The following is a 24,766-nucleotide window of genomic DNA, read 5'->3' as shown; positions in this document are numbered from 1 at the left end:
CAAACAAAGCCAATCACCTCTACTCCATAACATTAAATAAAAACGTCTATAGTAACTGAAGGAGGCTGAGAGAGAACAGACTGAAAAATAATTAGGAACTCCCTATCACTTCCTTGTTGGCGTTCCAATGTCCTGATAAGTTACTTTTGATGGGGTTGCCCAGTCAGTTAAAAAAAAAATACTTCCCAAGGGTCTACTAAGAATGAAGGAACCTATCACGTAAAGTTAAGAGTCAAAACAAGAAAAGTTACTGCTCTGAAGGATCTTACATTCTGAGTGGCTGAGGGTAGACAGAGACTTGGGGACAACAGGGCTGGCATGTCCTCAAGGCAGAAGGGCGCACCTGCTTGAGGCTCAGCAGCAGGATTCGGGAACAATGACTTCGGTCAATCTGCCTTGCTCTAGTTAATGTTTCCTTGATAATGTCACCATAGTCATTGTAGAACTGAGGGGAAAGAGTGGGGAAGGTAATGTCTGACTGGTGGAAAAGACCATTTGGTTTCTTCCTTCACATCCCTAATCATGTCTCCCTCCCAAACTCCCTTAGGTAGGAAACATGAACTGAAGCATAAAATAATTCAGACTAGACTTCATCTCTAATCAACAGGTGCAAAGCCCAAAATAAATCAGAGTTTCGGTAAACAAATAATAAGGCCGGGTGCAGTGGCTCACACCTGTAATCCCAGCACTTTGGGAGGCCAAGACGGGTGGATCACGAGGTCAGGAGATCGAGACCATCCTGGCTAATACGGTGAAACCCCGTCTCTACTAAAAATACAAAAAATTAGCCGGGCGTGGTGGTGGGTGCCTGTAGTCCCAGCTACTCGGGAGGCTGAGGCAGGAGAATGGCGTGAACCCAGGAGCCGGACCTTGTAGTGAGCCGAGATCACGCCACTGCACTCCAGCCTGGGCGACAGAGCGAGATTCCGTCTCAAAAAATAAATAAATAAATAAATAAATAAAATAAAAAACAAATAATGAAACAGGCCAGGCATGGTGGCTCACGCCTATAATCCCAGCAGTTTGGGAGGCCAAGTTGGGCGGATCACAAGGTCAGGAGATCAAGACCATCCTGGCGATGGTGAAACCCTGTCTTTACTAAAACTATAAAAATTAGCTGGGCGTGGCAGCGCATGCCTGTAATCCCAGCTACTTGGGAGGCTGAGGCAGGAGAACTGCTTGAACCCCGGGAGGCAGAGGTTGCAGTGAGCCGAGATAGTGCCATTGCATTCTAGCCTGGCGACAGAGCTAGAATCTGTCTCAGGAAAAAAAAAAAAAAAGAAAAGAAAAGAAATAAACACTGCCCCAAGCCCAATTCTTGGAGAAGAGAAGTAAGCCTGACAGTGCCCTCTCACACAGCACTGACACCTTCACTATTTGTCTCTCCCCAACTACAATGGAAGCTCCACCAAATAGGAACTTGTGTGTTTTGTTCACTGCTGTGGCCTTAGCTCCTGGAATGGTGCTTGGCACACAGCAGGTGCTCAATAAGCATAAATCAATACTGGTGGGTTGAGGAAACTGGGGCACCTATCTAGGTATCCTGTGAGGACTGATCCCTCTTTTATTCTTTTTTCCTTCTTATGTTACCCCATTCCATAGACTGGGGTCAGAGAAAAATAAATATTTCTGGACAGGAAGAATAAGCTATTTCCCCTCCAGTGAATTTCTTCACAGCTTTTTCTCCATAATTATTTACTATTAAGTCTCTTTTCTTTGTCCCCTTATTCTGAACTCCCAGTGCCTTTCCCTCCTACTTCTCCTTTAAGCTTGAAACCATTGGATATCCCCCACCTGTAGTGCTATTATGTTTCCAAGTCATGGCTGTGCTCAACTTGCTCCCTTCTCTTTTATTTCTGTAGGGCCTTGGTGTACCTTGTTGTAGTGTTTGAAAACATCTGAGGCTGCATCCATCTCCAGCACCCCATAAAGCAACAGCTTGCAGAACCCGGCTAGGAGGCGGCGCCGCTGGTGTAGCCGCTCTATCTGTAAATGATCCTCCTGGGAATCACCTGGCTCACATGGAAGGCAAAAGGGAATCACAGACTTAAGCTTCCTGCCCTATATTTCTGAGCTACACCCAAGCCCCAGCCCTTACTGAGCCCCAGGTATAGAGTCACTGCACCACTGCCCAGGTCTCCCGGCTGGATGAAGACGTGGTCCATGAGGAAGCTGGCTAGCTCAGACTGGAGAGTAGCTTCAGGAAAAAAGACAAGTGGCCTAAGGAAATCACGGCCCCCAACAATCATCTGAGGGCTAAAGATGAGAAGTAGATCACTTAATAAGACAAAAGCCTGTAGGGGGAAAAGAAAGGATGTTTAAAAGGACAGAATGTTTCCCAAGGTAGAAATGACACTGTCAATTTCTCCTTGGAATGGGGGCAGGGATACTCGCCTTGTTGCTCCCACTTGAGTCAGTACTCACCTGCTCCTGGATCTCAGTATCCACATCTGAGAGGCAACTCTGGCAGAGTTCACAGAAGGCCACCATTCTGTCCCTCAAACTCGACAGCTGCTTCTGTGGGCACAGTGGCTTGAAGGGGAAGAATGAAGACACAGACTCCTCTGTTCCCATTATCCCATCTAAGACCCACACTCACCTGGGAAGCATCTGATTTAGAAATGTGGGTTAGTGTCCAGAGAATGGAAAAATAGACAAGAGTCAAGGCTGGCAGGATAACCTGTAACAACAAAGGGTTTGAAAAATGAGGTTTGGGTTAGGAGAGGGAGAGACAGATAGCCAGAAACACACCAGTGAAGAGGAGAGAAAATGAGTAAAGGGAGAGCTAATTCCTTTTCCAGTGGAAAATGAGTGATATTCTGGACATTCTTCAGAGGCATCTACACGAAGTAGAAATGTCACCGCTCCCTAATTTACTCTACGTCTTCTAGAATCCCTCAATATTATCCTTGGCTTCCAGGAAATCCAAGAAGACCCTGGAAGTAGAGTCCACCTTCTAAGAGAGGAATGTAAGAGGTGACCCCCACCCACCTGATCTTCCTCGCTTTGTCCACTCCACGCACTGAGACTTGACACACCTAGTGGCCACCTAGAACGTAGGTCCTTAAAATCTAGCCCCCCAGCCCCCAACCCATCTCTAGCCTGTCCACTCACCTGGTGAGGAACCTCTCCTGTGTCCACAGCCTTCTGCAGGAGTTGGCAACATGGCTCATAGAGCTCCCAGCGAGTCAGGTCATGAGTGCTTTGGGGGAGAAAGGGGAATGTTATACTGGAAAAGAACAGAGGGAACCAACTCCACAGACACCAGTAAAAACGGGATGGGGAAGAGGAGGAAAGCCACTCACTTGTAGAAGGCAGAGAGGCGTTTCAGAGTGGCTGCCAGATTATATACCTCATCCTCATCTAGGAAGGACGACTGAGAAGGAAAGAAGATCCACAATAGCATTTCCCCCAGAACTCATCAGTCCACATCCCCCGTCTTGCAGCCCCTCCCACCCTTGTTTGGGGTGTCCCATTGTCCAGCCCCAGCTCCTACCTGTAACAGCTCTTCAAGCTCCTGCTGGAAGCGGTCAGTCAGCAAATCTACTAGCTGGCTGCGGGCAAAGTCCGCCCGGCTGAAGAAAGTGAATTCGGGATTACAGAGCAGGTAGAGGGCATGCGCCCCAGCCTCAAGCACCGCTGGCTCTGCATGCTTCACCACCACCTCCTGGAGTTGCTGCAGGAACAGCTCCAGGTGCTGAGAAGAAAAGGCAGAAGATGGTGTGCTGTGGGGATGGGAGGAGGACACTCTTCTGGCGGGAAGTGGAACGGGGTTAAAAGCATTAAACTTCAAGGATAAGATGCCTAAGAAAAGGCTTGCTGATTTTTCTGGAACCCAAGTTCTTAGGAAAAAAAGATACTGGCAATAGAACCCTTTGGCCCTGGCAGGCAAGCAGCAAGGTATAGGAAATCTATCTCCCTACCTTCTCCAAGCGCCCAGTGCAGTAGATGTGGAGGTCAAAGCAGCTGAGAAGCTGGAGCAGGGGAGTGACCTTCTCTGCATCAGCTGAGAACTGTGATGATTGACAGGGAGGCCTCCTTACAAGCTGACACATTGCTAATTCCTACTCCCACCCCCACAGAGGCCATTTCCTTTCACTTCTCTTGGTGTGATGCAGAGTGGAGGGGCAGCGGTACCTTGGCCAGGAGCTGGGGCAGCAGGGGGATGAGGTGCTCAGTCAACTTCACCCTGTCATCGGCTTGGGTCTTGCGCTCCTTAGAGGTTAAGCCCTGGAATGAGAGTCACTTGGGGGTGGGGGAGGTGTAAAGAAACACTGGTGCAGGGGGTGTGTGCAGTCCTCCTCCCCATGACCTTATCTGCCTAGAAGGAAAAGAGAACTCAGTAGCTCCCACGAGATTTCTTTTTTCTGGAAATGAAACTCCTTTTTTTTTTTTTTTTTGAGACGGAGTCTCGCTCTGTCACCCAGGCTGGAGTGCAGTGGCGTGATCTTGGCTCACTGCAAGCTCCACCTCCCAGGTTCACGCCATTCTCCTGCCTCAGCCTCCCAAGTAGCTGGGACTACAGGTGCCCGCTACCACGCCCAGCTAATTTTTTTTTTTTTTTTTGTATTTTTAGTAGAGACAGGGTTTCACTGTGTCAGCCAGGATGGTCTCGATCTCCTGACCTCGTGATCTGCCTGCCTCAGCCTCCCAAAGTGCTGGGATTATAGGCGTAAGCCACTGCGCCTGGCCCTTTTTTCTGGAAATGAAATTCTTTAAAGGGTAGAAGGAGCACCCTAACCCCAGCCTGGGGGATAAGGATGCACATTGCCTGTCAAGACTGAGTATTGCTGACCTACCCACTCTACCCTCACACCATACCTTCCTCCCAGTGACCCGGCCCACAGGCGGGTGCCCCTCTGAAGCTTGCCGGGCACTGGACACAAGGATTTCTATCAGTGTGCTCTCCTGCACATCACCCAGGTCTGGAGTGCCAGGAGGATCAAAAACATAGAATCAAAGATTAGCCACCTTCCAACTCCAAGCTCCCCCCACCCGATGCCACCGTTGCTGCCTTGTACAAGTGAAGCAAGCAATCCCTCCCAGTTTCACCCTAGGGGGTGGAAGGTCCCTGTCCCTGGCTCCGTGTGACACGTACTCTGGTCCTTCTCCAGCAGCAGGCTTGTCAGACCCTCCCAGTCCTTCAGCCGAGCCCCTGCACAGTCCCACAGACTGTCTACTAAGTAAGCAGCGTGGTCATGGAGCTAGGGGAGAACGTGCATGGGGAGTTAATGATAGCATGTTAAAAATACCCTACGAAGTGGTTACTGATTAAATATCGCTCTCCTTCCTACAGTGTCCACTCCCATCCTTCTCCATTTGTCTTTTTTTTTTTTTCGATAGAGACAGGGTCTCACTGTGTTGCCCAGGCTGGTCTCAAACTCCTGGGCTCAAAGGATCCTCCCACCTCAGCCTCCCAAAGTGCTGGGCTTACAGGCGTGAGCCACCAACCCCAGCCCACTTGTAGGTCCTATGCACAACAGCCAGACTTCTCTCTGTGTATGTCACCTCGCTCTCCACAAAGAAGGACAGCAGAAGCTGGAAGAAAGTCCTCTGGGCGCCTGGGCTCTGGCGTTGCTCTCTTCCACCCATCATTCTTATCTCGCACTCAGGGTAGAAGAGTCTGGTGGAATGGACACGAGGAAAGGGCTCAGCACAACAGGAAACAAGGAGGTGTAACGACCACAGAGGGAGGAGATGGCCCAAGGAGATGATAAAGGAAAAGGAGGTGAGAGCTAAGGAAAGCCCCAAGGAGCTGCGAGAAGAAAGGAGACACCAGGGAGACTTTCACAGAGATGGGGAAGCCTTAGGTAGGGCAGCAGCAGATGGAGGAGAGAAACCGAGAGCGTGGTGTTAAAGAAACATAAAAGGAGCCCCACTCACTTCCAGTACAGAAATTCGCCTGCGGCAGAGGCCAGGCCTCGATGAGAGGCATACACAACTGGGTAGACGCTCTCACAATCCGCGTCCGTCAGCACCCCTTCCATGTTCCTGCCCACAGAAAAGCAGAAAGAGTATGTGAATAGGGACATTGTCTTCTGGCACAACCAAGGCTAGAAACAAAAAGAGGCAAAAGCAACAAGGACATAACTCACAAAAAACTTCTAAATGAAGAGCGGAAGACAAAGGAGTATGGGGAGTTAGAGAAGACAGAAATATTACCCCCTCAACATACTGCAACTCAGGAATGACCTCAGTCAACCTGCACAGATGGAAGAGTCAGCTATGACAGGTGGAGGGAGATGACCCTGGAAGGGCAAAGGTCTGAGACACTGGCCTCCCCTCTTCCCAGGACTCACTTAAGGATAAGTATCAGTAATCTGACAGCCTCCACTGCCACATCATACTCTCTGTCCATGACCATGGAAACCATCCGGTCCTGCAGAAAGGAGAAAGTCACTCAATATCTCATTACACCCATTCCAAACATTCTGTTCTCTTAGAATCAGAGACTCCTAAAGAGAGTGCCTACGTAGAGGCAGATGCTGGGATAGCCAAGACATCTTAGAGCATGAGGGGTAGAAAGATACAAGGTGGGGAAATAGGAACCACGACAAAGAGCCAAGCCATGGAGCACCACCCATTTTACCTTGAAGCGGCTGGTGAAGAGCTCCAGGCGTGTGGTCAGGTCCCGGTTACCGTACAGCCCTTTCAGGGCCTTCACACACTTCAGGCGGACTTCTCGGTGCTGGTGAGGAGGGAAAACCAGGAGAATGGAAATAAGACTAACCACACTCTACTCGCCCCTACTAAGCCTCCAGACTCCCCTCTCCGATCCCTCATTCTAGCTTGGGTGTCCCCTCTACTGAGGACTCTTAAGATGTCAGAAACAATGAACAGCTGTCTTCTTACTTAAAAAACAAAAGGATCACAGCAGTACTCATGATGAGAAGGATCCTTTGGCTGCCCCTTAGCACCTGCATTACCATCCATCAATAACTCTCTTCCATGGGAAAGTCTCTCTCCCCGTACCTCAGGTTTTGAGTCATTTCATCTCCTGGGTATGTCTCTCTCTACCTTATCCTACTCTCCCCAGTGCTAGGGGAATTTCAAGGTTCAGCGCCTTGATGGGTTCATCATTGGTCACTAGGTAAAATATCTCAGTGGCAGGCCCAGGAAAAGGTGAAATGTCCTAGGACAGGAAAAAGATGAAGGAAACGGAAAGGGAAACTGACTCGAATCCCACCTTATCATGCAGAGTCCAACCAATATATTTTAAATAGCTGTCGGTGAGGAAAGACGTGCTGTAGCTTTGCATCCAACACCCAATTTCCTCAATGCAGATAGCACGGATCTCAGGAAGGACATCCCTAGACACAGACAGATAAGTTGACTCTTAGAGCCACCCTCTCTCCAAACTCACTTTCCATCCTACCAGATAACTCCCTCTCATGGAAGAATTTATTTTCTTGAAATGCCATGTACCCCATGCCTTTCATTTCTTCCTCCCGATGTAAATACTATATATATAGTAAAATACATGTAAATATTTTTTTTAAGGGATAGGATCTCTTGCTATGTTGCCCAAGCTGGCCTTGAACTCCTGGGTTCAAGTCATCTTCCCACTTTGGCCTCTCAAGTAGCTAGGACTACAAAAATGTGCCATACCCAGTTAGTAAATATTTTCTTTCTGTTACCAAACCATAAAATAGTTAAACACCAGCCTTGTACAGCCTAATTCTCCACTCCACCTGTTGCCCAGGCTGGAGTGCAGCGGCACAATCTCAGCTCACTGCAACCTCTACCTCTCGGGTTCAAGTGATTCTCCTGCCTCAGCCTCCCGAGTAGCTGGGATTACAGGTGCACCACCACGCCCAGCTTCCTTTTTGTATTTTTAGTAGAGACGGGGTTTTGCCATGTTGGCCAGGCTGGTCTCGAACTCCTGACCTCAAGTGATCTGCCTGTCTTGGCCTCCCAAAGTGCTGGGGTTACAGGTGTGAGCCACTGCACCCGGTCTCCATACCTCTTTTAAAAACCAATTTTGAAAGTTCATTCAGGCTGGGCATGGTGGCCAAAAATTAGCCAAGCATGGTGGTGGGCGCCTGTAGTCCCAGCTACTTGGGAGGCTGAGGCAGAAGAATCGCCTAAACCCGGGGGGTGGGGCTTGCCGTGAGCCGAGATCGCACCACTGCACTCCAGCCTGGGCAACACAGTGAGACTCCGTCCCTGCCAAAAAAAAAAAAGTTAATTCAACTGTTGGCCAAAGTGTGTGAGTGTGTTTTAATTCCACATTAAGAAAAGGTTACATCAGCTGAAAGGCTCTGGAGAGGCAGAAGTGAAACCTAGGTAAGAGTGAGAAACATCTACAATTTTTTTTTTCTTTTTTTTCTTTTTTTGAGATGGAGTTTCACTCTTGTTGCCTAGGCTGGAGTGCAATGGCGTCATCTCAGCTCACCGCAACCTCCACCTCCTGGGTTCAAGCGATTCTCCTGCCTCAGCCTCCTGAGCAGCTGGGATTACAGGGATGCGCCACCACACCCGGCTAATTTTGTATTTTCAGTAGAGATGGAGTTTCTCCATGTTGGTCAGGCTGGTTGTGAACTCCTGACCTCAGGTGATCTGCCTGCCTTGGCCTCCCAAAGTGCTGGGATTACAGGCGTGAGCCACCACGCCCGGCCTACATATATTCTTTTTAACTTAATTTGATCAGGTCATTAAACAGTATAAAACTCCCCTGCCCTTCGCACAGTGAGACAGCAGGCTGGGCCAGGAGAAGGCTCACCAGGCAGCAGGCATCCCTCAGAAAAGCCCCGCCTTTCTATTCTCTGCTCTTATCCTCAAGTCTCCAACCCCAGAAAGATGAGGAGTTGGGGCAGATCTGGGGCAAAGCCAGAGCAGGAAAATACTCAGCAATGCTTTATTCTCTTATTTTCTCCCAGAAGCACTTACAAGATCCTTTGTAGGTGGTGATAAACTAAACCTCACCAATTTGAAACATTTGTTGTCAAGAATTTTTGCTCCAGCTGCATTAATTCTGGGACTAACCAAATAACTAAGGGTTGGAGGGGGGAAAACCTTATTCACTTCCTCAGATTCCATAACCAAAGGCCAGCTGCTTCAATGAGAGAGGCCCATTAGCTCACCTGTACCGATGAACAAAGACACCCCTGAAGAGGGCATTCATCATCCCCTCAATCTCCTCTTGATGCTCTTGGAGCTGGAGGACAGGGAGAAACGGGTTAATCTTTCTTGTACCCTAACAAGCATAAGGCCCTGAAGATACAGAAAAACTACAACTTCCACCTACTTCCTGTTTATTATAGGATAGTGTGAACCCCCGTAATCCTATGCTCTCTTTTAAACCTTCTAATTCTGGAAGAAGCTGTATAGTCAACTAATGCCTCAGAGGTTTGTGTTTAGTAAAAATAATAACCCCTCTGCATGTGGTTATTCGGACTATTCAGAAGCCCTAGCTGGCATTATACAGGTGTATCTCGCTTTATTGCACTTTATTGATTTGCAGACATTGTGGATTTTTTTTAAACAAACTAAAGGTGTGTGACAACCCTGCATTGAGCATACCTATCAGTGCCATTTTTCTAATAGTATATCCTCACTTTGTGTCCCTGTGGCACATTTTGGTAATTCTCACAATATTTCAAACCTTTTCATTATGGTATCTGTTATGGTTATCTGTGATCAGTAATCTTTAATGTTACATATTTTTTTATGAGACAGGGTCTCACTCTGGCACCCAGGCTGGAGTACAGTGGTGTGACCATGGCTCACGGCAGCCTCCACCTCCTGGACTCGAGCAATCCTCCTGCCTCAGCCTCCCAACTAGCTGGGAGTCCAGATGCATGCTGCCACACCCAGCTAGTTAAAAAAAATTTTTTTTTTTGTAGAGACGGGCTCTCCCTATGTTTGCCCAGGCTGGTCTTGAACTCCTGGGCTCAAGCGATCCTTCCACCTCACTCTCCCAAAGTGCTGGGATTACAGGCATGGGCCATCACACCCAGCCTAATGTTACTACTGTAACTGTTTTGGGGTACCACAAACCGTGCCCATATAAGATGGCAAACTTAACAATGTCTGTGTTCTGACTACTCTACCAACAAGAGTTTCTCTGTCTCTCTCTCTCTCCTCAGGCCTCCCTATTCATTCCTTGAGACACAAAAATATTGTAATTAGGTCAATTAATAACCCTTTTAAGTGTCCAAATGAAAGGAAGAGTCACATGTTTCTCACTTTAAATCAAAAGCTAGAAATGATTAAGCTTAGAGGCCAGGTGCAGTGGCTCACACCTATAATCCCAGCACTTTGGGTGGCCAAGGTGGGCAAATCACTTGAGGTCAGTTCGAGACCAGCCTGACCAACATGGCGAAACCCCGTCTCTACTAAAAACAGAAAATTAGCTGGGTGCGGTGGCGGGCACCTATAACCCCACCTACTCAGGAGGCTGAGGCAGGAGAATCACTTGAACCCAGGAGATGGAGGTTGTGGTGAGCCAAGATCACGCCATCGCACTCTAGCCTGGGCAACAAAGTGAGACTCCGTCTGAAAAAGAAAAAAAAAAAAAAAAAAAAGAAATGATTAAGCTTAGTTGAAAACCAAGACAGGCCAATCGATAGCTAGGCCTCTTGTGCCAAACAGCCAAGTTATGAATGCAAAAGAAAAATTCTTGAAAGAAATTAAAAATGCTACTCCAGTGAACACACAAAGGGTAAGAAAGTTAAACAGTCTTATTGCTGATACAGAGACAGTTTTAGTAGTCCGAACAGAAGATCAAACCAGCCACAACATTCCCTTTGGCCAAAGCCCAATCCAGATCAATGTCCTAGCTGTTTTCCATTCTATGAAGGCTGAGCAAAGTAAGGAAGCCACAGAAGAAAAGTTTGAAGCTAGAAGTTAGTTCGTGAGGTTTAAGGAAAGAAGCCCTCTCCATAACATAAAAGTACACGGTGAAGCAGCAAATACTGATAGAGAAGCAACAAGTTATCAAGAAAATCTAGCTAAGATCACTGATGAAGGTGGCTACACTAAACAATGAATTTTCAATGTGGACTAAACTGCCTTATAATTGGAAAACGCCTTATATTGGAAAATCTAGGATTTTCGCAGCTATTGAGGAGAAGTCAATGCCTGGCTTCAAAGCTTCAACGGACAGCCTGACTCCTCGTTAGGGGCTAATGCAGTTGCTGACTTTAAGTTGAAGCCAATACTCATTTACCATTTTAAAAATCCTAAGGCCCTTAAGAATTATGCTAAATCTACTCTTCCTATGCTCTATAAATGAAACAACAAAGCCTAACTGATATCACATCTGTTCACAGTATGGTTTCCTGAATATTTTAAGCACATGGGTGAGGCCTACTGCTCAGAAAAAAAGATTCCTTTCAAAATATTACCGCTCAATGACAATGCACCTGGTCACCCAAGAGCTCTGGTGAAGATGTACAAGGAGATCCATGTTGCTTTTTTCATGCCCACTAACACAACATCCATTTTGCAGCCCATGAAACAAGGAGTAATTTCAACTTCAAGTCTTATTATTTCAGAAATACATTTCATAAGGCTATAGCTGCCACAGTGATTCCTCTGATGATTTGGGCAAAGTCCATTTAAAACCTCCTGGGGTTAGGCATGGTGGCTCATGCCTACTATCCCAACTTTTTGGGAGGCTGAGGTGGGAGGACTGATTAAGCCCAGGAGTTCAAGACTAGCCTGGGCAACACAGTGAGACCCTGTCTCTACAGAAACAAAACAAAAACTAGCCAGATGTGGTATGCAATCTGTAGTACCAGATACTTGGAAGGATAAGGCAGGAACATCACTTGAGCACAGGAGGTTGGGGCTGCAGTGAGCCATGACTGCACCAGTACATTCCGGTCTAGGCAACAGAGCGAGACCCTGTCTTCAAAACAAAAAACAAAACCAGAAAAACTCAACCCCCCGTCCGGGAAGGATTCACCATTTTATCTTATTTTATTTTATTTATTTTTGAGATGGAGTCTTGCTCCATAGCACAGGCTAGAGTGTGGTGGCGCAATCTTGGCTCACTGCAACCTCTGCCTCCTGGGTTCAAGCAATTCTCCTGCTTCAGCCTCCCAAGTAGCTGGGATTACAAGCAGCACCACCACACCTAGCTAATTTTTGTATTTTTAGTAGAGATGGGTTTTTGCCATGTTGGCCAGGCTGGTTTCAAACTCCTCACCTCACGTAGTCCACCTGCCTCAGCCTCCCAAAGTGCTGGGATTACAGGTGTGAGCCACTGTGCCTGGCCGGGATTCACCATTTTAAATGCCATAAAGAACATTTGTGGTTCATGGGAAGAGGTCAAAATATCAACATTAACAAGAGTTAAGTTGATTCTAACCCTCACGGATGACTTTGAGAGGTTTAAGACTTCAGTAGAGGAAGTAAACTACACGTGCAGTGGAAATAGCAAGAGAACTAGAAGTAGAGACTGAAGATGTGGCTGAATTGCTGCAATTTCATGACCTTGAACAAATAAGGAATTGCTTCTTATGAATGAGCAAGGAAAGTGGTTTCCTGAAATGGAATCTATTCCTGGTGAAGAGGTTGTGAATACTGTTGAAATGACAACAAATGATTCAGACTATTACCTAAATTTAGCTGATAAAGCAGCACCAGGGCTTGAGAGAATTGACTCTTGTTTTGAAAGAATTTCTACTGTGGGTAAAATGTCATCAAACAGCATTTCATGTTACAGAGAAATTTTTTGTAAAAGGAAGAGTCAGTAGATGCAGCAAACTTCACTGTTGTCTTATTTCAAGAAATTGCTACAGCCACCCTAACCTTCAGCAACCACTACCCTGATCAGTCAGCAGCCATCAACATGGAGGCAAGACCCTCCACCAACAAAAAGATTTAACTCGCTAAAGGTTCAGATTGTCATTAGCATTTTTTAGCAATAAAATATTTCTAAATTAAGGTACATACACTGCTTTTTAGACAATAGTCTTGCACACTTAACAGACTACAGTGTAAACACAACTTTCATATGCACTGAGAATTAAAAATTTTGATTTTTTGATTGTGTGACTCACTGTACTTCAATATTCACTTTATTATGGTGGTCTGGAATTGAATCTGCAATATCTTTGAGGTATGATGCCCGTATATGTTTCTAACAATTTGGAAAACAAATTTTTAGTAAGTTGCAGTTTAATAGAAGTGGAACTAGCAAAAATGAGAAGAAAGGAATTAGATCAGTGGTTCTCAACTGAGGCTAATTTTGTTCCCCAGGGGAGATTTAGCAGTGTCTAAAGATTTTTTTGGCTGCCACAACTTGCTGGGGGAGCAGGGTACTACTGGTATCTATCTAGTAGATAAAGGCCAGAGATCTGCTAAACATCCTACCATGGCAGGACAGCCCCGCAACGTCCATAGTGCCATTATTGAAAAATCCTGGATCACATGAACAATAGACACCAAGGAAACAGAATTATAAGGAGAAAGGGAACATCCTTTAAGACAACAGGCCCCACCTCTTCAATTATGTAAGAACAACATATCATTTTCGACAGGACATACTTAAGTCTTTAGGGCTGAAGTACCTATATGTCCATATTTTACACTAAAATAGCAAAAATAGGTAAAGCAAATATGTAAAATATTTGGGAAAGGGAGACTGAGAAAAGGCTACTGGCTTTAGGAATTAGGAAGTCATTGGTTTAGAAAGAACAGTTTCAAAGAAAATGGGGAAATAAGCTAGGTAGCAAAAAGGATTCAGTTAGTTGGACATTAAGGAAGTAAGGAAATACTATCCTAAAAGGAAGGATGGAAAAAAGAGTAACTCACAAAGGAGCAGAGTGAAATAAAGATTCAAGAGCCTATATACATTTATAAGTGGAGAGAAGAAAATAGTGGGGAGGAAGAAATTTAGGATAAAATGGGGGAATTATAATGATAATTGATTAAGCAAGAGCCCAGAGAAGCCAAAAAAGAAAAAGAAAAGAAAAGATTCGCACTAGTGTACATAATTTAAAATCCGGGATAGATTAATATTCAAGCTTTTAAGATCAACCTGACAATGCAAAATAACAAAAGAGAATAAGGGAAGTGGAAAGTTTCCTTCTCTAGTGATTTAGAATGGAAGAGATCTTTTGTGAGGGCTAGAGAAACAGCCAAATGATATGGTCAGACATGGTGAGTCCTGCCAACCTCATAGGAGGGGTCTTAGACACTAACAGAGAGTGAGGAGAAAACACCAGTAGTGTTACTCTTATGACAGACCCAGCTGATTAAAGATTTCATCAGCGTAAAAGATTTTGCTATGGCTTATGCCCCCCAGTGGTCATCTTTAAGTTTAAAAGGAAACAAAACAAGTATCTACTATGAGCCAAGCGAGGCAATTTACTCATCTCATTTATTCTTCACAAAAAGGTGAGATTATTCCTTTTTTTAAAGAAAAGAAAACTGAAGAGAGGTTACATAAGGCTATGGAGCTAGTGACTAAATTCAACAGAATTTAAAGCGAGTTCACTGGGAGGCCTGTTTTCTTTCCATTCCTTGAAAATTTGGCCTCCCTTGTCAATGGTTGGCTTTTAGTACTCCTGCACTCACTTGCACACTGCACACTTGACAAGTAGGTCAAAACTTAATTCCCTGCATGACAGGCAGGTACAGCACTTAAACACTCCTAACAATGAGTGCTGACAAAAAAAAAAAAACTGAGCAAAAGTGGAATTAGAGAGAACTCTAAATTACACATTATTTGTTGAGCCCACAACCCAGAAACAAGATGAGCATGTAATGACCCCTTACAGGATGGGTCTATGAAACTATTGCCAGACTCCATTATTCATGATCTTGAAAGACTGCCCAGGGCCTGATAAGGGGGTCTGTGGCAGAAGTGGGTGCAAGTTGGGAAAAAGGGAAGGAAGAAGCAGGGAACACTCCTCACCTCTTTGCGTTTCTCCAACAGGCTCTCCAGCCGCTCAGGTGCCCTCTGCCCTGGCCCCTTGTTTCTTTCAGCCTCATACTGACGCTGATTGTTATCTTGGTGCACACTCAGTTGGAGGGCAACTTTTACCAGGGAGGTCATCAGTTTCATAGCTTTGAGAAAGGAAAAAGAGATAAAGAAATCATTACTGAGGTCAGAGGAGAGAGGATGAGTAGAAGGAAAAAATAGAAGGAAAGAAGGGCAATGAAAATGAGACGTCAGAGCAGGATGACCCTAAAATCCTAAGACGGCCTGTCCTGGAGTGGACTGTTTCCCTCGAACCCTTGTGGTCTTCTTTTAACCATCAGCATACCCCTAGTGGTGAGCTCTGACAAAAATATTAAACCTGGAAATTGTTGCTGTGATCTACCCCTTCTCAAAACTCCACTAGTGAGAAACTGGATTGAAGTTTAGGATAAAAGAGGCATGGCCTTGAAGTGAAGAGCCAAGATGCAGGTAGGAAAGAAGATCCTGAATCAGAGAACAGAGGAAAGTCCTATAAATCCCCAGGAGAATGTCCAGAGTAAAAATGAATGCTCACCAGCCAGGGTGCTAGTGTGACGGAAGGCGCGGACTTGTGAGTCTGAGAGGCCAGTGAGCAGGGAGATGAGGTCGTCCATAGGGAAGCCATCATAGAGGAGGCTGTACTGGCACTGACAGACCAATGTCCTCACAAATTCACAGAAGCTGCCCTGGAACTTCTTCCAGGATGGACCTGGAGCTATGAGAGGGTAGTCCCCCGAGTCCTACAAAAGGATGTATGAAAAGGATGGGAAAGTTATTACCAGGTCCATGAAGTCATAGGGGCTTGGATGTCAAAACTCAACAGTCCAGTAAAAATATCTGTTATACCTCATTTCCTGGTATTCTCCCCAATTTGAGAGGCATATTCAGATCTCTTTTACCCCCAAGAGACTGAATTCCTCCTTCTAAAAGCTACCCTATTTCACAGAATCAAAAAGAAGGGGATAATAGGCATTGTGTTTTGAAATAAGAGGGGTAAGAGGATCCTGGTCATCTTCTTCCACCTCATTAAACTGCTCTGTTAGGTGCTGGATGATCTCTGAGTTGGACATCTTCTTGAACATCTCAGGGGTCACAATGCCTAAAGAATGAAGGATATGAGGTGCTTACAAGGAAAATAACAGGATGCTTTGATCATTTACAGATATACCTGAAGATGAGCAAGGAAACATTCTGCAAAGAGCTTAGGTGGGGAATGAGAAGACCCCCTGGTCAACAGTCTGCCAACATCCAACCATGTATCTGCTATAAGGCAATCTCTCTAAAAACCCAAAGGAAGGGAGCCACAGGTTATGGTGTAGACATGGCCAAATCCAAGAACCACACCTCACACAACCAGGCTGAAAACTGCACAGAAATGGCATCAAGAAACCCCAATCACAAAGATACAAATCTCTTAAGCGGATGGACCCAAATTCCTGAGGAATATGTGCTTTGCCAAGAAGCACAACAAGAACGGCCTAAAGAAGATGCAGGCCAGCCGGGTGCAGTCGGTCATGCCTGTAATCCCAGCACTTTGGGAGGCCAAGGTGGGTGAATCACAAGGTCAGGAATTCGAGACCAGCCTGGCCAACATGGTGAAACCCCGTCTCTACTAAAAATGCAAAAAATGAGCTGGGCATAGTGGCGGGTGCCTGTAATCCCAGCTACTCGGGAGGCTGAGGCAGGAGAATCGCTTGAACCTGGGAGGCGGAGGTTGCAGTAAGCTGAGATCGCACTACTGCACTCCAGCCTGGGCAACAAGTGAGACTGTCTCAAAAAAAAAAAAAAAAAAGATGATGCAGGGCAACAATGCCAGGGCCATAGGGCCATGAGTGCACATGCTGAGGCTATCAAGTCCCTCATAAAGCCCAAGGAGGTTAAGCCGACTTGCCTACACTGCCCACCCCAAGCTTGAGAAGCATGCTTGTGCCCACAATGCCAAGGGGCTCAGGCTGTGCCAGCCAAAGGCCAAGGATCAAATGAAGGGCCAGGCTGCACCTCCACCTTCAGTTCCAGCTCAGGCTCCCAAAAGTACCCAGGCCTGTACAAAGGCTTCAGAGTAGAGATCTCTCTCTGCCAGCATGAGGTCAGGACTGGTGTCCCCTTGCACTATTTGTACAAATAAACCTGAGGCAGGATTTGTTTCAAAAAAAAAAAAAGGAATCAAGCAGTGAAAAACTGCCAAAAAACAACAACAACAACGACAAAAAAAAAACAAACCAAAAAACAGGCCAGGCGCGATGGCTCATGCCTGTAATACCAACACTTTGGGAGGTCGAGGCAGGGGGATCGCCTGAGGTCAGGAGTTCAAGATCAGCCTGGTGAAACCCCATCTCTACTAAAAATACAAAAATTAGCCACGTATGGTGGCACTCGCCTGTAATCCCAGCCACCTGGGAGGCTGAGGCACGAGAATCGCTTAAATCCAGGATGTAGAGGTTGCAGTGAGCCGAGATCATGCCACTGCACTCTAGCCTGGGCAACAGAGTGAGACTCTGTCTCAAAAAAAAACAAAAAAAAACAAAACAAAGACAGCAATAAAACTAAGCCAGATGCTGATTTCTTATATAATACAACCTGACTGAGACCATCTGTCCCAATAAACGAAGCCATGGCAATAAGAGTTCTGGGGGTACCACAGCTACAGAGGAGAAATATGGGCAAAGTAGCTGGGAAACAAAGAGTAACATTATTGCATCCAGAAAGACCAAAGGGTGTCTTCAAATTTGTGCCATAACATAAGCGTGATTACTTCTTTTTCCCTAAAGTGTCTTGCCTCTAAACCAACATGGTTCCCTACTGGATCACTTCCCATATTTATCAATAAAAAATTTAGTTAAAGAAGTGAAACTTTTCTCTCTTTTTTTTTGAAGACAGTCTGGCTCTGTCGCCCAGGCTGGAGTGCAGTGGCGCTATCCTGGCTCACTATAACCTCCACCTCCTGGGTTCAAGCAATTCTACAGGCATGAGCCACCATACCCAGATAATTTTTTGTATTTTAGTAGGGGTTTCGCCATGTTTCCCAAGCTGGTTTTAAACTCCTGACCTCAAGTGATCCACCTGCCTCAGCTTCCCAAAGTGCTGGGATTACAGGTGTGAGTCACAGTGCCCGGCCTAAATAAGTAAAATTTTTCTAATGCTTTACCATCTTCCTTTATTTAGGAAATGTCTAATCCTACTTATCTAAATGGAGAAAGAATTTCATAACATAGGAACAAAAGGCTGGGAATTAGAAAGGGGGAGCAGTTTCCTCACCTTTACATCCGCAAGATTGGATGAAAAAGTTAACAAGCTCCAGAAATCCTGCATCCTGGTCTTGCTTGTAGCTATCCAGCCACTCATCTACCAAAGACTAGGGAAAAAAAATGTAGATGACTTCTGTTTCTGGCAATATGACAGAATAGAAATCCTATATGATCTTCCCAGTTGAACCATCTAAACTTCTGTAAAACATTTAAAACATCTTTCACAATGTACTGGTGAACTAGAATGAAAGGTAAAATTTCATATAGGCCAAAAATGAGGTGTAAGTAGCAACCCTGGGAGGTAAACAAACTGACTTTTGCCCTAAAGGTTTCATTAATCCCTGGGGATTTATGACTTTGTATCCAGATGGCTGCATGGAATGCAGAGCACAGGAGGTAGAGCCTAAGCTTTTTCCAAGACGAGTAGTCCAAGAGGAGGCACCTAAATAAAGCTGGGTCCTGCAAAGAGTCAGATCCTCAAGGAAGTCAGATTGAACACTAAACCTACCGGGCAGATAGAGACAGCAAGAAAACTAGCTTGTTATGACCTGAGGGTACAGTGGAGGGAAAAAAAATAATTCTTTCTTGAGAATTCATAACCATAGTGAGCCCTCAGATCTGGATTTGCAATCAAGATTCACACCACATACATGATCAGAATAATCAGAATAATCTTTTTTTTTCTTTTCCTTTTTTTTTTTTTTTGAGATGGAGTCTCACTCTGTAGCCCAAGCTGGAGTGCAATGGTGTGATCTCGGCTCACTACAACCTCCACCTCCCACGTTCAAGCAATTCTCCTGCTTCAGCCTCACAAGTAGCTGGGATTACAGGTGTGCGCCACCACGCCTGGCTAATGGCTAATTTTTGTATTTTTAGTAGAGACAGGGTTTCACCATATTGGCCAGGCTGATCTCGAACTCCTGACCTCAAGTGAGATCCACCTTAGCCTCCCAAAGTGCTGGGATTACAGGCATGAGCCACCACACCCAGCCCAGAATAATCATTCAGATAATTAAAAGCGATTCAGGCTGGGAGCAGTAACCCAAGTAAAGTGAAACTCATGTTGCCCAGGCTGGTCTACCAAAAACAGAATAATTAGTCAGGCATGGTGGCACATGCCTATAGTCCCAGCTATGAGAGGGGCTGAGGTGGGAAGATCACCACCTCGCCACTGAGGGAGGTCAAACCAGCAGGGAGCCGTGATAGCACCACTGCACTCCAGCCTAGAAAGAATGAGACCCTGTCTTAAAAAAAAAAAAGTGATTCTGGAGTGTCCCCAGACAACTGTCAAAGCAAAAGCAGGTTCCTTTCTTAAAAACCCAGCTTTGGCCTAGGCCCCAAAGAATTCCAACACATAAGAACTCCAGGGAAAATGAGTGGCTCACAATAAAACCTAGTAAAACATATAAAGAAACAAGGCACTGACAGAATTATACTCACAAAGACTTTAGATAATAATTTATCATAGATTATAAAATGACTATGTTTAATAAAATTTTAAAAATAAAAGGGGGAGAATGGGCTAAAAAAAAGAAATAAAAGGCCAGGCATGGTGGCTCACACCTGTAATCCCAGCACTTTGGAAGGCCGAGGCCGGCGGATCACGAGGTCAAAAGATCGAGACCATCCCGGCCAACACGGTGAAACCCCATCTCTGCTAAAAATACAAAAATTAGTTGGGCGTGGTGGCATGCATCTGTAATCCCAGCTACTCGGGAGGCTGAGGCAGGAGAATCATGTGAACCCGGGAGGTGGAGGTTGCAGTGAGCCAAGATCACGTCACTGCACTCCAGCCTGGCGACAGAACAAGACTCCGTCTCAAAAAAAAAAAAAAAAAAAAAAACTAACACGCTGTACAACTGCATATAAGGTGGAAAAGACATTTGGAATTAAAATGTGCTCAGGTCCTTGCAGAAGATAAGAAATCCAAAGGAAGGCAAGCAAAGGTGGAAAAAGAAACAGAAAAGATAAAACGAATGTACCAACTCAATACTAGGCCATAAGGCTAAGTCTCCATAAATTTCTTTCTTTTTTTTTTTTTGAGACAGAGTCTCACTCTGTCATCCAGGCTGGAGTGCCGTGGCACAATCTCAGCTCACTGCAACCTCCGCCTCCCGAGTTCAAGTAATTCTCATGCCTCAGCCTCCAAAGTGGCTGGGATTACAGACAAACGCCACCACATGCAGCTAATTTTTGTATTTTTAGTAGAGATGGGGTTTCACCATGTTGGCCAGGCTGGTCTCAAACTCCTGGCCTCGAGTGATCTGCCCGCCTCAGCCTCCCCAAGTGCTGGGATCACAGGTGTGAGCCACTGTGCCCGGCCCCTACATAAATTTCAAACACCACATTCCCTGACTACAACACAATGAAGTTAGAAATCAAATAACGAAAATATAACTAGCAAAATTCTATATGTTTGAAAATTTTAAATATTTTCCCAGAAACTATAAAATTACACATTAATGTGGGTAAATCTCAAACAATGTTAACTCAAATAATTAAATCATAGAAGCCTGAATAATGGATTCATTTACATAATTAAAGAACATATTCATAGTGGTAACACTATAATGAGAGATGAGAAAGATTAACACAAAATTCACTCTAGTGTTTACCTGTGGGTAATAAGGAGACTGTGAAATGGAGTAGAAAGAAGGTACACAAAGGATCTCTACAGCACTATTAATGTTTCATTTCTTGAGCTGGGGCTAGAGATCTGAGTAATCATTTCATTTTTATTTTTTAAACTACATATAAGCTTTGTACACTTTCGGGTATTAGAACTTCAATAAAATTATAAAAAAAGAAACAAGGAAAAAATAATTAAGTATAATTGTCAAGATGGAGCTAAAAAATAACATGGGTGAACAAGGTGCCACCCACATCCAAGCTTCCTTCCTGTGTCATGCAATGCCTCTCCTCATCTGCTCCATCAATCAATAAAGGCATAATCACTCCTGTGATACCTTTAAGAAAAGAACATGCTCTCTCAAAGCCAGGTGCAGTGACTCACGCCTGTAATCCCAGCACTTTGGGAGGCCAAGGTGGGCGGATCACCTGAGGTCAGAAGTTGGAGACCAGCCTGGCCAACATGGCGAAACCCCATCTCTACTAAAAATACAAAAAGTAGCTGGGCGTGGTGGCACACGCCTGTAATCCCAGCTACTTGGGAGGCTGAGGCACAAGAATCGCTTGAACCCAGGAGGCAGAGGCTGCAGTGAGCCAAGACTGTGCCACTGCACTCCAGCCTGGGCGACAGAAAGAGACTCTGTCTAAAAAAAAAAAAAGAACATGCTCTCTCATTCAAGGTTACCCTTCTATCACTCCAAGGATTCACCCCATAACCTTATCTTTCTTGACATGTTACACTCACTAAAATGTTCACGTCAAATCAAGTTTGTAGACACTTGTCCTTACCACCTTACAAAAAGTGAGATGGTATCAACAGAGGTGAGACACTGCTTTACCTGCATGTCACTTTTGGCGGCTTTCACAGCATTGAAAAGATCATTGGCTGGTGGCTCTGACTGTTTCCGGCTATGACGATGTACCACTCGGGACCCTTTCTTTGGATGTTTTGCCACCTAATATGTATAAAAAGATCAGAAATATGAAAAAAAAACAAAAAAGGTAACAGTGACATTAACGCTTGGTTTCATCATTATCACACAAGTAGGCTTAAGCTGCCAATTCCACAGCAGAGTCTGAGTTAGACTCAGTCCTGAAATAATTGATTTTTATATTGTTATGAAGTTTATTTTTTTCCCTTAAAAAAAAAGTCCTTGAGTCCCCTTCCTGTATCTCTACATCCTAACGTCCTTTTCTCTTCTTTTCTCTTCAAAATTTCTCTTCTTCCTATTTCCATCCCTTAATACTTTGTAAATCTTGTCCTTTTATGAACCGTATCACCTGAACCTCTTTTAGGTTTTCTTTTCTTTTTTTTTTTTTGAGACGGAGTCTCGCTCTGTCGCCCAGGCTAGAGTGCAGGGGCGCAATCTCGGCTCACTGCAAGCTCTGCCCCCTGGGTTCACGCCATTCTCCTGCCTCAGCCTCCCAAGTAGCTGGGCTGCTTCCCCCACAAGATTCAAAAACAAAAGAAAACTGGCTGACTCACCGGTGTTGTTTTCGGTGGTCGTTTTGCTGCTCTCTTCTTCACATTGCGATTCAAGCTGTCTTCAAAGTCAGTGTCTTCATCAGCTAACAAAGAGTCGCCATTCCTGTGAGAAAGTATGGTTCTCTTTAAATATAACCACCCTATTCCCTCCATATAAAAGGCTAATTAATTATGGTTTCTCTGTCTCTCACCGCACCCCATCTCCATGAGAAAAACATATCCAGATTTTAAGAAAAAATGAGCTTATTGTTAGTAGGAAGTTGGGACAAAGTCTTTTTTTTTTTTTTTTTTGAGACGGAGTTTCACCCTTGTCACCCAGGCTGGAGTGCAATCGCATGATCTCAGCTCACTGCAACCTCCGCCTCCCAGGTTCAAGCGATTCTCCTACCTCAGCCTCCCGAGTAGCTGGGATTACAGGTGTTTCACCGTGTTGGCCAAGGTGGTCTCAAACTCCTGACTTCAGGTGATCCACCCGCCTCGGCCTCCCAAAGTGTTGGGATTATAGGCATGAGCCACCACACCCGGCCGGGACAAAGCCTTAAAGGAAAACTTTCACATGAAAGCAATGGAGATGAAGAATGAGGAAATGAGGCAGGAGAAGGACAACTCTTCCTAGTATTCTCTCCGAAGAAGAGAATCAAATGATACTCACTTAGCAGGTAGCGAGATCACTGCTCTTTGTAGAGAAAGATAATCATGGCTCAGGAAGTCATCTATCATTCATCCATAAATGGGAGAGTAATATGTATCTAGAGTTAAATTTCACCCCCTTGAAACATAAACCACATGTCTTATCAATTCAAGTTTATAACTTTGATATAATCTGGTCCCCCACAGCAGCACTGACAGAAACAGAAATGATTCAGAGAAAGCCAATTAAAACAGCCAGGGGATAAAGCAGATCTGTATGAAATTCGCTTTTTTCCTTCTGGAAAGGTAAAAAACCAAGATATATTATTATAACCTACACAGAATAAACTCATATATGGTAATAAATAAGGATACACAGACCTATTTACAAAATCCCCAAGTAGAAGAAATAGGGGACACTAGCCAAAAAGTATATACAATTTACCAGGCAACAAATAAAGAACTCTTTACTCCCCCATCTGCCAGCTCTCAGCCCCCACCAGGGTTGGTACATGCTGAACATAGAAATGTGTTTAAGAGAGGTTTAGACAAGATGGATGATGGATTAAAAACAGGATGTGCTTGAACCCAGGAGGCGGAGGTTGCAGTAAGCCGAGATCGCGCCACTGCACTCCAGCCTGGGCGACAGGGCGAGACTCCGTCTCAAAAAAAAAAAAAAAAACAGGATGTACTACTATTTTGATGTCTACAACATCTAGGACCGCCAAAAAAAACACCTGGAGCTGGAGGGAGGGTGTCACTGTGCTGAACGAGTATAGCACTTCTGGTGTTTTCACACAGTCCCACGCATATTATCATCAATGTGGGAAAACGAGGGGGAAGGCTGCCAGGGACACAGGAAGTGGCCACACAATGCAACATCTACTTACCCCTCTGAGGTATGGTTTGAGTCCCTGTCATCAAAGGGTAGACTGGCAGAGGAACTAGAAGATGCAGACAAGGCCCTCTTGGTATCTCCCACAGCTCTTTGCAACGGGGAAGACATGCTTGGAGAGGAGGAGCTATGAGGCCAGGAAGATGAGGACCACAGGGTAGGTATGGCGATCCAGCTGGGGAAGAAAGAGAAGAAAGGGCTCCTACCACAGCACTTCTCCATCCCCAGCCCTGACCAGTCCCTTTCTTTCCAAGGGAATGGTTCTAGAACTCTGGGGTCAGGTGAGGGGGACCAAAAACTAAGACAAAGGCTGGGCACCGTGGCTCATGCCTATAATCCCAGCACTTTGGGAGGCCAAGGCAGGAGGATGGCTTGAGCCCAGGAGTTCAAGACCAGCCTGGGCAATACAGCAAGACCCCATTTCTAAAAAAAAAATAATAATAATCATTAGTCAGGTGTGGTAGAGCATGCCTGTATTCAGCTATTCAGGAGGCTGAGGTGGGAGGATTGCTTGAGTCCAGGAGTTCAAGGCTGCAGTGAGCTACGATCGCACCACTGTACTCCATCCAGCTTGGGTGACAGAAGAAGACCCTGTCCCCCCTCAAAAAAATAGTAATGATAAATAAGACAAATGGCTGGGCACAGTGACTCATGCCTGTAATCCCAGCACTTTGGGAGGTCGAGGCAGGCAGATCACCTGAGGTCAGGGGTTCGAGACCAGCCTGACCAACATGGAGAAACCCCATTTCTACTAAAAATACAAAATTATCCGGGTGTGGTGGCATATGCCTGTAATTCCAGCTACTTGGGAGGCTGAGGCAGGAGAATCGCTTGAACCTAGAAGGCGGAGGTTGTGGTGAGCTGAGATCGTGCCACTGCACTCCAGCCTGGGCAACAAGAGTGAAACTCCATCTCAAAATAAATAAATAAATAAGACAAAGAGCTGACCTAAGGCATCAAGGGATTAA

The 24,766-nt window shown here is 45.3% G+C and overlaps 1 protein-coding gene and 2 pseudogenes across 26 annotated transcripts in view, besides 2 other annotated features; 2 read left to right on the top strand and 1 right to left on the bottom strand.

The window, feature by feature from the left end:
• The window catches only part of CASTOR3P (CASTOR family member 3, pseudogene), a 71,580-nt pseudogene extending 67,767 nt beyond the window's left edge, over positions 1–3,813 (top strand). For 2 of the 3 annotated variants that reach the window (NR_028040.1, NR_028039.1), the window contains one exon: positions 1,863–3,813. The product of NR_028040.1 is annotated as a CASTOR family member 3, pseudogene, transcript variant 4 (transcript). The remainder of the gene's footprint in view (positions 1–1,862) is intronic. The other variant, NR_166147.1, reaches the window with a different exon arrangement.
• The window catches only part of STAG3 (STAG3 cohesin complex component), a 41,611-nt gene that overhangs the window by 14,869 nt on the left and 1,976 nt on the right, over positions 1–24,766 (bottom strand). For 14 of the 23 annotated variants that reach the window (XM_017011685.2, XM_047419788.1, NM_001282716.1 and 11 more), the window contains exons 2-26: positions 23,794–23,973; positions 22,274–22,376; positions 21,627–21,743; positions 18,170–18,266; positions 15,937–16,013; positions 15,450–15,654; positions 14,870–15,021; positions 9,084–9,157; positions 7,187–7,310; positions 6,590–6,688; positions 6,300–6,379; positions 5,884–5,991; positions 5,509–5,623; positions 5,099–5,204; positions 4,822–4,925; positions 4,138–4,230; positions 3,924–4,013; positions 3,497–3,697; positions 3,306–3,376; positions 3,115–3,202; positions 2,600–2,680; positions 2,425–2,517; positions 2,126–2,294; positions 1,876–2,012; positions 344–445 (exon numbers count right to left, since the gene is read on the bottom strand). In XM_017011685.2, the coding sequence (XP_016867174.2) occupies positions 344–445; positions 1,876–2,012; positions 2,126–2,294; positions 2,425–2,517; positions 2,600–2,680; positions 3,115–3,202; positions 3,306–3,376; positions 3,497–3,697; positions 3,924–4,013; positions 4,138–4,230; positions 4,822–4,925; positions 5,099–5,204; positions 5,509–5,623; positions 5,884–5,991; positions 6,300–6,379; positions 6,590–6,688; positions 7,187–7,310; positions 9,084–9,157; positions 14,870–15,021; positions 15,450–15,654; positions 15,937–16,013; positions 18,170–18,266; positions 21,627–21,743; positions 22,274–22,376; positions 23,794–23,909 (2,802 nt within the window). In that variant the 5' untranslated portion in view covers positions 23,910–23,973. Of the gene's footprint in view, positions 1–343; positions 446–1,875; positions 2,013–2,125; positions 2,295–2,424; positions 2,518–2,599; positions 2,681–3,114; positions 3,203–3,305; positions 3,377–3,496; positions 3,698–3,923; positions 4,014–4,137; positions 4,231–4,821; positions 4,926–5,098; positions 5,205–5,508; positions 5,624–5,883; positions 5,992–6,299; positions 6,380–6,589; positions 6,689–7,186; positions 7,311–9,083; positions 9,158–14,869; positions 15,022–15,449; positions 15,655–15,936; positions 16,014–18,169; positions 18,267–21,626; positions 21,744–22,273; positions 22,377–23,793; positions 23,974–24,766 lie in introns of those variants that run through there. The other 9 variants (XM_047419796.1, XM_047419792.1, XM_017011687.2 and 6 more) reach the window with 3 other exon arrangements.
• Positions 4,124–4,463: an enhancer, noted in NCBI's record as "active region_26345". NCBI's record gives its function as "activates an Ori minimal core promoter by ATAC-STARR-seq in GM12878 lymphoblastoid cells {active_cell/tissue: GM12878}" and the evidence as "EXISTENCE:reporter gene assay evidence [ECO:0000049][PMID:35858748]".
• Positions 14,097–14,256: an enhancer, noted in NCBI's record as "active region_26344". NCBI's record gives its function as "activates an Ori minimal core promoter by ATAC-STARR-seq in GM12878 lymphoblastoid cells {active_cell/tissue: GM12878}" and the evidence as "EXISTENCE:reporter gene assay evidence [ECO:0000049][PMID:35858748]".
• LOC102724025 (60S ribosomal protein L29-like) lies at positions 16,211–17,013 on the top strand (annotated as a pseudogene).

The sequence above is a fragment of the Homo sapiens genome, chromosome 7, assembly GCF_000001405.40.
Source record: "Homo sapiens chromosome 7, GRCh38.p14 Primary Assembly".
Taxonomy (NCBI): Eukaryota; Metazoa; Chordata; class Mammalia; order Primates; family Hominidae; genus Homo; species Homo sapiens.
Note: the sequence above shows the minus strand (reverse complement) of the source record. Positions and strands in the feature narration are given on the sequence as shown.